The sequence below is a fragment of the Homo sapiens genome, chromosome 14 (genome assembly GCF_000001405.40).
Source record: "Homo sapiens chromosome 14, GRCh38.p14 Primary Assembly".
Lineage (NCBI taxonomy): Eukaryota > Metazoa > Chordata > Mammalia > Primates > Hominidae > Homo > Homo sapiens.
Window position 1 is genome coordinate 46541876 of NC_000014.9, and position 14474 is coordinate 46556349.

The 14474-nt window shown below is 40.4% G+C and overlaps 1 long non-coding RNA gene across 7 annotated transcripts in view; it reads right to left on the minus strand.

The window, feature by feature from the left end:
- Nucleotides 1-14474, minus strand: part of LOC124903309 (uncharacterized) — a 98633-nt gene that overhangs the window by 54855 nt on the left and 29304 nt on the right. For 5 of the 7 annotated variants that reach the window (XR_007064146.1, XR_007064143.1, XR_007064144.1 and 2 more), the window contains one exon: nt 2116-2207. The exons of 1 other annotated variant lie outside the window; for it this stretch is intronic. This is a non-coding gene — a long non-coding RNA (uncharacterized LOC124903309). Of the gene's footprint in view, nt 1-2115; nt 2208-9285; nt 9395-14474 lie in introns of those variants that run through there. One more of the 7 variants, XR_007064147.1, reaches the window with a different exon arrangement.

Below are 14474 nucleotides of genomic sequence, written 5' to 3' on the forward strand. Positions count from 1 at the left end.
AAGAATTATTTCACTCTTTGGCAATTCTAATGCCCTTGACTTTGTATGGTGCCCTTGTCAGTCCTCAGTAGGCCCATTTGTTTCCTTCTAGAAGAAAGTAATAAAGTTCTGTTGAGATAATGACCTTCAGTTTTAACTTTTACAAAAACAGAAGTAAATTTTTACCACATAATTAATTTAATGGTCATTTATCCTCAAGAATTTTTGAAAAAGGTATTCCTTATTTTTAAAAAATATATAAATAATGAGACTATATTCAGAGACCTCTTTAATGACTATTTAAATACGTTTTAATTTTTAATTTATGTGACTTGAAATAAAAATTATTAAATTTAAAGTTCATGATCCTTAAAGATCATGAACCTAAATTAAATATGAAGTAAATAATTGATCATGCCTTGACCGTTTTTAAAAAAAATTAGACTATCTGAAAGGGGAAACATTTATTGTGAACTCTGATAATTTGTTATCAAAAGAACAATTAAAATATGCTGTCATTCAGCATATGAGTAATGATCATGATTATGACTGATTTATTTTCTTAGAGATACTGATACCCCATTGGTAGTAAAATTATTAGTTTTATAATATAATATAATTAGAGAATTTTCAGAGCTAAAGCTACACTGAGAAACCAAAGATTCAGTTCTCTGTAATCATGGAAGTCACACAGATTATTGAGTTATAATAAGGCTTATAATTCTTTGAAAAATAATGGGTCTATGGATTTAACATCCATGCTATAGAAATTAATTATATTTAGGATGTGTGAAAGGTTATCCTACGTTTAAGTCATGAATTCAGATTTGTTTTGAACCTAACGTTTTGAATCACGTCCTTCTGATAGTGAATGAGCCTAGTTTACTGTTCAGTGTATGCATCTCAGTATGGTTGTGATGCTTTCTTTTGAATATGTAATACTTTTGTGAAGTGAAAGAAGAAATCGCCTGTATTCGTTTCAAAGGGCTGACATAACAAATTAGCTTAAATTGGGTGGCTTACAACAATAGAAATTTATTCTTTCATAATTCTAGAAGCAAGGAGTCTGAAATTAAGATTTTAACACGGTATGTTTTCTCTGAAAGTTCCAGGGAAGAATCCTTTCTTGCCTCTTCCTAGCCGCTGGTGATTGCCAGCAATCCTTTGGTTTCCTTGGTTTGTAGCTGCATCATTTCAGTCTCTGCTTCCACCTTCAACTAGCTGTTTTCCTGCTGTGTGTGACTGTGTTTTTGCACAGCCTTCTTATAAGGACGTCAGTCATTGGATTATCTATGTAACCTCAAAGAAGCCACCTAAGTTTTATTTTCCTCATGTTAATTTCCTCCTCTAAGTAGGAATAAGTTAGCTCACAGAATTTTTGTGAGGATCAAATAGAATGTGCTTTGGGAAAGATAAAGTAATAGAAAAATATTTGAATTCTTTTTAACTTGTACCAGTCGGTAAGGTAAGCATACACCTATACCCAGGAGAACTGCCATGGCCCAAGAGCAGAAGTCAAGCAGAAACAGCCAGCTGAAAATTAGTATATTGGACTACAGTGTAGAACTAGACAGAGATCTGGGAAACATCTGCAAGAAAGTGATGGTCTAAGGACTTTGGAAATTTAATCATAAAATAAATAACGTAAATTCTACTTTTACATTAGAGTTAATACTGTGCAAATATAAAACATGTATCAAATCATATACAACTTTAAAAAATATCCCTATATGTTGAAACATCATATGAAAAAATTATTTATTAATATGGAATCAAACATATATCCTTAGGTTTATATTTTTACCTGGCATACTAATCCAGTTTAAAAAGCAGACACACAGTTGCAAAACATGAGCATTCTACTTTATAAGATGGCCCAGTAGCCCGTAGTTTGTAGATTACAACTGATGTGAGTTTTTAGATTGCAACTGACCTGAGTTCTGATCATCTGTGCATTTTTGGGAGGAAGGGCATTTTAACACAAGCACATGGGTAAAGAAGACAGAAAGAAATAGGCAGAATCAAAGAATACAAGGCTTCAGTTATATAGAAGAAACACAATCAGGAAAATTATTATACAACATAGTGACTATAGTTAATATAAATGTTAAGAAAGTAGTTGTAAAGTGTTCTCACCACAAGGATGATAACTGTCAGGTCTCTGATCCCAAGCCAAGCCATCACATCCCCTGTGACTTGCACGTATACATCCAGATGGCCTGAAGTAACTGAAGATCCACAAAAGAAGTAAAAATAACCTTAACTGATGACACTCCACCATTGTGATTTGTTTCTGCCCCACCCTCACTGATCAATGTACTTTGTAATCTCTGCCACCCTTAAGAAGCTTCTTTATAATTTTCCCCACCCTTAAGAAGGTTCTTTGTTATTCTCCCCACCCTTGAGAATGTACTTTGTGAGATCCACCCCTGCCTGCAAAACATTGCTCTTAACTTCACCACCTATCCCAAAACCTCTAAGAACTAATGATAATCCACCACCCTTTGCTGACTCTCTTTTCGGACTCAGCCCGCCTGCACCCAGGTGAAATAAACAGCCATGTTGCTCACACAAAGCCTGTTTGGTGGTCTCTTTACACGGACACGCATGAAATTTGGTGCCATGACTCGGATCAGGGGACCCCCCACTTGGGAGATCAATCCCCCGTCCTCCTGCTCTTTGCTCCGTGAGAAAGATCCACCTATGTATGACCTCAGGTCCTCAGACTGACCAGCCCAAGAAACATCTCACCAGTTTCAAATCTGGTAAGCAGCCTCTTTTTACTCTCTTCTCCAACCTCCCTCACTATTTCTCAACCTCTTTCTCCTTTCAATCTTGGCACTACACTTCAATCTCTCCCTTCTCTTAATTTCAATTCCTTTCATTTTCTAGTAGAGAAAAAGGAGACACGTTTTATCCGTGGACCCAAAACTCTGGCGCCGGTCACGGACTGGGAAGGCAGCCTTCCCTAGGTGTTTAATCATTGCAGGGGCACCTCTCTGATTATTCACCCACGTTTCAGACGTGTCAGACCACACAGGGATGCCTGCCTTGGTCCTTCACCCTTAGCGGCAAGTCCCACTTTTCTGAGGGAGGGGCAGGTACCCCAACCCCTTCTTTCCGTGTCTCTACCCCTTCTCTGCTCTTCTGGGGCAGGGGCAAGAACCCCTCACAACCCCTTCTCCTTCACCCTTAGCAGCAAGTCCCACTTTTCTAGGGGGCAAGAACCCCCAATCCCTTATTCCCGTGCCCCAACCCCTTCTCTGCTTTTATGGAGGGCAAGAACCCCCCACCCCTTCTCCGTGTCTCTACTCTTTTCTCTGGGCTTGCCTCCTTCACTATGGGCAAGCTTCCACCTTCCATTCCTCCTTCTTCTCCCTTAGCCTGTGTTCTTAAGAACTTAAAACCTTTTCAACTCTCACCTGACCTAAAATCTAATCGTCTTATTTTTTTCTGCAATGCCGCTTGACCCCAATACAAACTCAACAGTACTTCCAAATAGCTGGAAAACGGCACTTTCAATTTTTCCATCCTACAAGATCTAAATAATTCTTGTCATAAAATGGGCAAATGATCTGAGGTGCCTGACGTCCAGGCATTCTTTTACACATCAATCCCTTCCTAGTCTCTGTGCCCACTGCAACTCATCCCAAATCTTCCTTCTTTCCCTCCCTCCTGTCCCCCCAGTCCCAACCTCAAGTGTCCCTGAGTCTTTCTAATCTTCCTTTTCTACAGACCCATCTGACCTCTCCCCTCCTCGCCAGGCTGAGCTAGGTCTCAATTCTTCCTCAGCCTGGGCTCCTCCACCCTATTATCTTTTTATCGCCTCCCCTCCTCACACCTGGTCCCGCTTACAGTTTCGTTCCGTGACTAGCCCTCCCCCACCTGCCCAGCAATTTACTCTTAAAAAGATGGCTGGAGCTAAAGGCATAGTCAAGGTTAATGCTCCTTTTTCTTTATCCCAAATCAGATAGCATTTAGGCTCTTTTTCATAAAATATAAAAATCCAGCCCAGTTCATGACTTGTTTGGCAGCAACCCTGAGACGCTTTACAGCCCTAGACCCTAAAAGGTCAAAAGGCCGTCTTATTCTCAAAATACATTTTATTAGCCAATCTGCCCCCGACATTAAATAAAACTCCAAAAATTAAATTCTGGCCCTCAAACCCCACAACAGGACTTAATTAACCTTGCCTTCAAGGTGTACAATAATAGAAAAAAGTTGCAATTCCTTGCCTCCACTGTGAGACAAACCCCAGCCACATCTCCAGCACACAAGAACTTCCAAACGCCTGAACCGCACTGACCTGGCGTTCCTCCAGAACCTCCTCCCCCAAGAGCTTGCTACAAGTGCCAGAAATCTGACCACCAGGCCAAGGAATGCCTGCAGCCCAGGATTCCTCCTAAGCCATGTCCCATCTGTGTGGGACCCCACTGGAAATCAGACTGTTCAACTCACCTGGCAGCCACTCCCAGAGCCCGTGGAACTCTGGCCCAAGGCTCTCTGACTGACTCCTTGGCTTAGCGGCTGAAGACTGACGCTGCCCGATTGCCTCAGAAGCCCCGTAGACCATCACAGATGCAGAGCTTTGGGTAACTCTCACAGTGGAGGGCAAGTCCGTCCCCTTCTTAATCAATACGGAAGCTACCAACTCCACATTACCTTCTTTTCAAGGGCCTGTTTCCCTTGCCTCCATAACTGTGGTAGGTATTGACAGCCAGGCTTCTAAACCTCTTAAAACTCCCCAACTCTGGTGCCAACTTAGAAAATACTCTTTTAAGCACTCCTTTTTAGTTATCCCCACCTGCCCAGTTCCCTTATTAGGCCGAGACACTTTAACTAAATTATCTGCTTCCCTGACCATTCCTGGATTACAGCTACATCTCATTGCCGCCCTTCTTTCCAATCCAAAGCCTCCTTTGTGTCCTCCTCTTCTATCCCCCGACCTTAACCCACAAGTATAAGATACCTCTACTCCCTCCTTGGCGACCGATCATGCACCCCTTACCATCTCATTAAAACCTAATCACCCTTACCCCGCTCAATGCCAATATCCCATCCCACAGCATACTTTGAAAGGATTAAAGCCTGTTATCACTCGCCTGCTACAGCATGGCCTTTTAAAGCCTATAAACTCTCAGAGTTCCCCCATTTTACCTGTCCTAAAACCAGACAAGCCTTACAAGTTAGTTCAGGATCTATGCCTTATCAACCAAATTGTTTTGCCTATCCACCCCATGGTGCCAAACCCATATACTCTCCTATCCTCAATACCTCCCTCCACAACCCTTTATTCTGTTCTAGATCTCAAACATGCTTTCTTTACTATTCCTTTGCACCCGTCATCCCAGACTCTCTTCGCTTTCACTTGGACTGACCCTGACACCCATTAGGCTCAGCAAATTACCCGGGCTGTACTGCCGCAAGGCTTCACAGACAGCCCCCATTACTTCAGTCAAGCCCAAATTTCATCCTCATCTGTTACCTATCTCGGCATTATTCTCATACAAACACACGTGCTCTCCCTGCTGATCATGTCTGATTAATCTCCCAAACCTCAATCCCTTACAAAACAACAACTCCTTTCCTTCCTAGGCATGCTTAGGGTGGTCAGAATTCTTACACAAGAGCCAGGACCACACCCTGTAGCCTTTCTGTCCAAACAACTTGATCATACTCTTTTAGCCTAGCCCTCATGTCTGCGTGCAGCCGCTGCCGCTGCTTTAATACTTTTAGAGGCCCTAAAAATCACAAACTACGCTCAACTCACTCTCTACATTTCTCATAACTTCCAAAATCTATTTTCTTCCTCATACCTGATGCATATACTTTCTGCTCCCCAGCTCCTTCAGCTGTACTCACTCTTTGTTAAGTCCCACAATTACCATTGTTCCTGGCCCGGACTTCAATCTGGCCTTGCACATTATTCCTGATACACCTGACCCCCATGACTGTATCTCTCTGATCCACCTGATATTCACCCCATTTCCCCATATTTCCTTCTTTCCTGTTCCTCACCCTGATCACGCTTGATTTATTGATGGCAGTTCCACCAGGCCTAATCACCACACACCAGCAAAGGCAGGCTATGCTATAGTACAAGCCACCAGCCCACCTCTCAGAACCTCTCATTTCCTTTCCATCTTGGAACTCTATCCTCAAGGAAATAACTTCTCAGTGTTCCATCTGCTGTTCTACTACTCCTCAGGGATTATTCAGGCCCCCCTCCCTTCCCTACACATCAAGCTCGAGGATTTGCCCCCACCCAGGACTGGCAAATTAGCTTTACTCAACAAGCCCCGAGTCAGGGAACTAAAATACCTCTTAGTCTAAATAGACACTTTCACTGAGTAAGTAAAGGCTTTTCCTACAGGGTCTGAGAAGACCACCGCAGTCATTTCTTCCCTTCTGTCAGACATAATTCCTCAGTTTAGCCTTCCCACCTCTATACAGTCTGATAACAGACCAGCCTTTATTAGTCAAATCAGCCAAGCAGTTTTTCAGGCTCTTAGTATTCAGTGAAACCTTTATATCCCTTACGGTCCTCCTTCTTCAAGAAAAGTAGAACGGACTAAAGGTCTTTTAAAAACACACCTCGCCAAGCTCAGCCACCAACTTAAAAAGGACTGGACAATACTTTTACCACTTTCGCTTCTCAGAAGTCAGACCTGTCCTCAGAATGCTACAAGGTACAGCCCATTTAAGCTCCTGTGTAGACGCTCCTTTTTATTAGGCCCCAGTCTCATTCCAGACACCAGACCAACTTACACTGTGTCCCAAAAAAACTTGTCATCCCTATCTTCTGTCTAGTCATACTCCTATTCACCGTTCTCAACTACTCATACATGCCCTGCTCTTGTTTACACTGCCGGTTTACACTGTTTCTCCAAGCCATCACAGCTGATATCTCCTGGTGCTATCCCCAAACTGCCACTCTAAACTCTTGAAGTAAATAAATAATCTTTGCTGGCAGGACTATGCTGAACCTCCTTAGGCACTCTCTAATTAGATGTCCTCGGTCCTCCCAATTCTTAGACCTTTTATACCTGTTTTTCTCCTTCTCTTATTCCATTTAGTTTTTCAATTCATACAAAACTGTATCCAGGCCATCACCAATCATTCCATATGACAAATGTTTCTTCTAACATCCCCACAATATCACCCCTTACCACAAGATCTCCCTTCAGCTTAATCTCTCCCACTCTAGGTTCCCACGCCGCCCCTAATCCCGCTTGAAGCAGCCCTGAGAAACATCGCCCATTCTCTCTCCATACCACCCCCCAAAAATTTTCGCCGCCCCAACACTTCAACATTATTTTGTTTTATTTTTCTTATTAATATAAGAAGGCAGAAATGTCAGGCCTCTGAGCCCAAGCCAAGCCATCGCATGCCCTGTGACTTGCAAGTATACATCCAGATGGCCTGAAGTAACTGAAGATCCACAAAAGAAGTAAAAATAACCTTAACTGATGACATTCCACCATTGTGATTTGTTTCTGCCCCACCCTCACTGATCAATGTACTTTGTAATCTCTGCCACCCTTAAGAAGGGTCTTTATAATTTCCCCCACCCTTAAGAAGGTTCTTTGTTATTCTCCCCACCCTTGAGAATGTACTTTGTGAGATCCACCCCTGCCTGCAAAACATTGCTCTTAACTTCACCACCTATCCCAAAACCTCTAAGAACTAATGATAATCCACCACCCTTTGCTGACTCTCTTTTTGGACTCAGCCCGCCTGCACCCAGGTGAAATAAACAGCTATGCTGCTCACACAAAGCCTGTTTAGTGGTCTCTTCACACGGACGTGCATGAAAATAACTATATGAGGTAATACATATGTTAATTAGCTGGATTTTGTCATTTTACAGTGTATATATACTTCAAAACTTCATGACATACATAGTAAACATATACAATTTTATCCGTCAAAAAAAATAATAATAATAGGCTGAGTCTAAGGTGAGAGTCAACTGAGATGTGTAGCTTCTCCCCGGTAGTGACAGTGATTGAGCAAATAAAAAAATGTATTTCTGTCCACTTGACTGAGGTCCAAATAGGTTGTCCTCATTCAAGTGAACAGCAATTCATTCATTCATTTACTTATTTATTCAACTTACCTGCTGAGTGATTTCTAAGTATAAGGAACTGTTAAATGCTGAGGATATACGGGAGTCAAGCATAGCACCTATCTTCAACTTAAAATCTAGTGGAAAAATGCTACTTAAATTAGTATTGTTTAATATTAATTAATTACTGTTAATGACAGCTGAGAATTATTGACTAAATACTTGATATAAATCATTCAAAAACTCTGGTCTAAAAAGAAAATATAAAGCTCTACCTTAATTAGTGCCTGCAATTGCTAAGGGCTGTGAAGGGCGGAGCTCAAAATTAATATTTAATTTTATATAAGTTTATGCATGTAATGAGGAACTCATTATTTTGAATCATAATATTGCTAAATTGAAGTAGAAAAAGAAAAAAGCTGACTGCTAGAACTGAAAATTTTTTAGAGATCCTCATTTTACACATAGAGAAATAGTAGCTGAGAGTTAGCAAATAAGAACCTTAGATTCAGTTACAGTGTTTGGGAAGAGATTGGCTGATTTTGTCTTAAAACTGATTTCTATTACTTTGTGGTTATTGTCTTTATACACATTAGGTAGCCAGAGTGATCTTTAAAATATATATATATACACACACACATGTGTTTAAAGCTGTTTCAAATCGTTAAATAGTTTTCTATGGCTCTTAAGAGAATAACCAAAATATTTATTTGGCTCATATTAAAATAGGAATAGATCTAGGTGGTCGCAGAAGGATGGAAAAACCCAAACAGCTGCCAAAACAAGAACTAGGCAAAGAAACTACAGGATAACAGAAAACCCAAAATAAGGGAGAGAACATGACTAAAACCCCCATCAGGGTGATATGTCCATGACTCTTCTGGGCAAACCCAAATAAGGGAGAAAGTGGTCAGTAACCAGGAGTCCCTGAAATCCCCTCCTTTTCCAGAATATCTAATGATTATTACACCCCTAATTAAAGAAACACCCATAAAATAAGGATGCTGGGTAGTCACCGGAGAAGTGGGAAAATAAGCAGCAATTTCACACAGCAGCAAAAAAGCAGCTGTTCCAGTTAGCCACAAGGACAAGGACGAACTTGGGCTGATAAGATCCTAACAAACAGGATGGGGGCTAAGCTGGTTGAAACCGGCTGGGTCCAACATAGTATTGGGTTTAACCCATGTTCTACCCCAGACCAATCATATGCTCATTACCATACTAAGTCACACACCCACCAGCACCACGACAGATAGGAGCACGGCCGTATGTAGTATAAAAATAGGTGGCAGCCGGGCACGGTGGCTCACGCCTGTAATCCCAGCACTTTGGGAGGCGGAGGTGGGTGGATCATGAGGTCAGGAGATCGAGACCATCCTGGCTAACAAGGTGAAACTCCATCTCTACTAAAAATGCCAAAAAAAAAAAAAAAAAAAAAAAATTAGCCGGGCGTGGTGGCAGGCGCTACTTGGGAGGCCGAGGGAGGAGAATGGCGTGAACCTGGGAGGCGGAGCTCGCAGTGAGCCGAGATCGCGCCACTGCACTCCAGCCTGGGCGACAGAGCAAGACTCCGTCACAAAACAAAACGAAACAAACAAACAAACAAAAACAAAGGTGGCACCCCAATTCCAAGAAATCTCTACCTTTTTTTTTTCTTGAAATCCTCATTATTCTACCCCCTAATTAGGAGCAGCATAAAATTAGAAGCCCAAACTCTGAATTCTTTCTTGAAGCAGTATCAAGAACCTGGAACACAGGCAGGGACTTGGGTCTCATTGGCATCTGGAGACCCTCCTAAGCCCTCCAGCAACAATACTGCATGCAGGAGCTGGTCCCCTCTCTAACCACTGGCTTCCTGCATCGCAGCTACACTGACGGCTTCTCGTTCTTCCAGAACTCTAAAGCCGCCTGTGTCCTCCGTTCTCTACAGGTACTGTTTCCTCTGCCTAGATTTCTCCTTCCACTCACGTTGTTAACCGCAATCTTCAGCTCAAACCCTATTTTATAACAGATGCCTTCCTGGACCCTTTCAACTTGGTGAACTACACCTGCAATATGGTCACATAGCTTTCTAAAATGTTCTTTATAATTGTAAATTTATTTTTTGAATTATTTAGTCTGTCTCCGTCATATCTCGCCCTAGGTTTCCCCAGAGCAGAAGAGAAAAAGACTTGTGTGCAAGTAGTTTAATTGAAAATGGATTCCAGGGAATAGGAGTGAGAGGCCAGACTGAAATAAGTTAAATCAGGGAAGTAAGAAAGACCACTATGGACTTAAATGTGTTCCCACTAGGGCTAATAAGAAACTTGATGAAATGCGTCCCTGAACTGTCTGGCTTGCAGATGACAGAGGAAATCATTTATTTATTGGCTCCATTCTCTTTGGTCCAGGGTAAGCCCATAACATCTGTGCCTAAATACTATTTTGCAAAGAAAAAAAATGCTGACTAGATCCCCATGGGGTCCTATTCCCTGGTAAGGGAATTTGGGGATGGGAATTGGGAAGGTGGAAGTCCAAGGTAAGGCACTGTTAGTTTGCACCTGTCCTAAGTTCTACCACAGCCACAGCAATGGTATGAATAAAAGGTGGGGCTGAGGGATTTATAAATGGGGCATAGGAATTATACCTTCCCAGGATATTAGAGCAGATATATGATTATCTTTCTAATTATTATATAGTTATCACCTCGCTTAATGTCTGGCATATAGTAAACACTCAATAAATCTTTTTAATAATCAGTACAGTATAGAAATTTCTTTGGCCTCCAAATTTATGGGCTATTATATTATATTTGATTATTATTTTCTGTTTAAAAAGAAACAATTTGGAGTACACAAAACAGTAGTTTCATCTGGCTCAGAGTTTAATGGTATCAAAGTTTTCTCTCACTCACGAGGAAAAATACAATGCTGCCACCTTAGCTTATCAATATCAAGGATTGAATATGGACATTTCAATAGTATTCTGAAGCAAGCAACCCTACACCTTGCCAGGGTGATTGGGGGCAGTTAAATAGATAATGAGGGAGTATATCAAATGACAACTGTGTACAGACACCTGGGTAAAGAATACATTTAAAGGAGATATTCATTATATAATATTGTACTTTTTATTTCTTATATTTTCAACTTTTATTTTAGATTAAGGGGTACATGTGAAGTTTAGTTACATGGGCAAATAGCTTGATGCTGAAGTTTGGGCTACAAATGATCCCATCACCCAGTGATATGGTTTGAATTTGTGCCCCCTCCCAGATCTCATGTCAAATTGGAGGAAGGCCCTGGTGGAAGGCAATTGGATCATGGGGGCAGATTTCTTCCTTGCTGTTCTCACGCTAATGAGTGAGTTCTCATGAGATCTGATGGTTTAAAAGTATGTGGCACTTCCCCCTTCACTCTCTCTGTCCTACTGCCAGGTAAAGACGGTGCTTGCTTCCCCTTCATCCTTCCACCAAGGTTGTAAGTTTCCTGAGGTCTCCCAGTCATGTTTCCTGCTAAGCCTGCAGAACTGTGAGTCAGCTAAACCTCTTTTCTTCATAAATTACCCAGTTCAGGTAGTTCTTTATAGCAGTGTGAGAATGGACTAAAACACCCAGTTAGAGAGAACAGTATCCAAGAGTTATTTTTCCAGCCCTTGTCCCTCCCTCACTACTCCCTCTGGTAGTTCTCAGTGTCTGTTCTTGCCATGTTAATATCCACAACTACCAAATGATTGATTCTCACTTATAAGTGAGAACATATGGTATTTAATTTTCTGTTTCTGTAGTAATTTGCTTAGGATTAATGGCTTTCAGCTGCATTCATGTTGCTGTAAAGAAAATTGTGTTATTTTTTCATGGCTGCATAGTATTCCATGGTGTAAATATACCATGTTTTCTTTCTCCAGTTCATTGTTGATAGGCAGCTAGGTGGATTCCATGATTTTTTTAATGTGAATAGTGCTGCAGTGAACACATGAGTGCATATTGTGTGTCTTTTTGGTACAACGATTTATTTTCTTTTGGATAGATACCCAGTAATGAGACTTCTGGGTCAAACAGTAGTTCTAAGTTCTTTGAGAAATCTTCAAACTGCTTTCCACAGTGGCTGAACTAAATATATTCCCACCAAAAGTGGATAAGTGTTCCCTTTTCTCCACAGCCTTGCCAGATGATCTGTTGGTGTTCTTTTTTTTTTTTTTAACTTTTGAATAATCGCGATTCTGACTGGTGTGAGATGGTATCTCATTGTGGTTTTGATTTGAATTTCTCTGATGTTTAGTAATGTTCAGCATTTTGTAATATGCTTGTTGGCTGCTTGCATGTTTTATTTGAGAACTGTTTGTTCATGTCTTTTGCCCACTTTTTAATGGAGTTGTTTTGTTTTTGTTTTTGTTTTTTGAGACAGAGTCTCAGTGTCTTTTGCCCACTTTTTAATGGAGTTATTTGTGTTTTCTTATTAAGTTCTTTATAGATTCTCTACAGTAGACCTTTGTCAGATGCATAGTTTGTTAATATTTGCTCCCATTCTGTAGGTTTTCTGTTCAGTCTCTTGATAGTTTCTCTCACTGTGCAGAAGCTCTTTAGTTTATGTAGGTCCCATCTCTCAATTTCTTTTTTGTCACAATTGCTTTTGAGGATTTAGTTGTAAATTATTTTCCAAGGCTGATGCCCAGAGTGATATTTTCTAGAGTTTTTTCCAGAATTTTTATAGCTTCAGGTTTTACATTTACATGTCTGATCCATCTTGAGTTAATTTGTGTATATGGTGAAAGGTAGGGGTCCAGTTTCATTCTTCTGCATATAGCTAGCCAATTATCCCAATACTGTTTATTAAACATGAAGTCCTTTCTTGATTGCTTATTTTTATCTAATTTGTCAAAGATCAGATGGCTGTAGGTGTGTGGATTTACTTCTGGGTTCTGTATTCTAACCTATTGTTCTATATGTCTGTTTTTGTACCAGTACCATGTTGTTTTGGTTACTGCAGCCTTATTACTATAAGTATATTTATATAAGTATATAAGTATAGTTTGAAGTCAGGTATTATGATGCCTCTATCTTCGTTCTTTTTGCTTAGGATTGCTTTGGTTGTTTGTGCCCCTTATTACATATGAATTTTGGAATCATGTTTTTCTAGTTCTGTGAAAAAATAATGTTAGCTGTTTGATAGGAACAGCATTAAATCTGTAGATTGCTTTGAGCAGTATGGTAATTTTAATGACATTTATTCTTCCAATCCATGAGCATGGAATATTTTGCCATTTGTATGTGTTATATGTGATTTATTTCAGCAGTGTTTTACAGTTCTTCTTATAGAGATCTTTCACTTCCTTGATTAGATGTATTTCTAGGTAATTTAGTTTGTTTGTGGCAACTGTAAATGGGATTGTGTTCTTGATTTTGTTCTCAGCTTGAATGTTATTGGTATATAGAAATGCTACTGATTTTTTTTTTACAATGATTTTGTATCCTGAAACTTTACTGAAGTCAATTTATTAGTTCCAGGTGCCTTTTGGGTGAGTCTTTAGGGTTTTTCAGGTATAGAATCATGTTAGCCACAAAGAGAGAGTTTGTTTCCTTCTGTTCTTGTTTGGATTCCTTTTACTTCTTCCTCTTACCTGATTGCTCTGGCTATGACTTCCAGCATTATGAAGACTGAGAGTGATAAGTGTGGGCATTATTGTCTTGTTCCAGTTCTTAGTGGGAATAGTTCCAGCTTTTGTTGGTTCAGTATGATGTTGGCTGTGAGTTTGTCAGAGATTATTCTTATTATTTTGAGGTATGTTCCTTTGAGGCCTAGTTTGCTGAGAGTTTTTAACATGAAGGTTTATTGTATTTTTTCAAAGACTTTTACCATGTCTATGGAGATGATCACATCATTTTTGTTTTTAATTCTGTTTTTATGGTGAGTCACATTTATTGTTTTGTGACTGTTGAACTAAACTTGCATCCCAGAAATTATGTTTATAAGCGTGTTTCTATGTTAGTCGGTATTGTTGTTTTGTTTCCATGTTTTGAACTTTCTTAAGCAGTGGTCCCCAACCATACCTGGGACCAGTTTCATGGAAGACAATTTTTCCATGGATTGTGGGGGCTGTGGGGTGGATTATGGTTCTGGGATGAAACTGTTCCACCTCAAATCATCAGGCATTAGTTAGAGTCTCATAAGGAGCACACAACCTAGATCCCTTGCATGTGCAGTTCACAATATGGTTTGTGCTCCTATAAGAATCTAATGTCATTACTGATCTGACAGGAGGTGGAGCTCAGGCAGTAAGGTGACTACCTCCTGCTGTGCAGCTCAGTTCCTAATAGGCCATAGACTGGTACTGTTTTCTGGTCCAGGAGTTGGGGACCCCTGCTCTTAAGGTCTCTTATAAGGCTGGTCTTATGGTAATGAATTCTCTTAGCACTTACTTGTCTAGAAAAGGTTTTATTTCTCCCTCA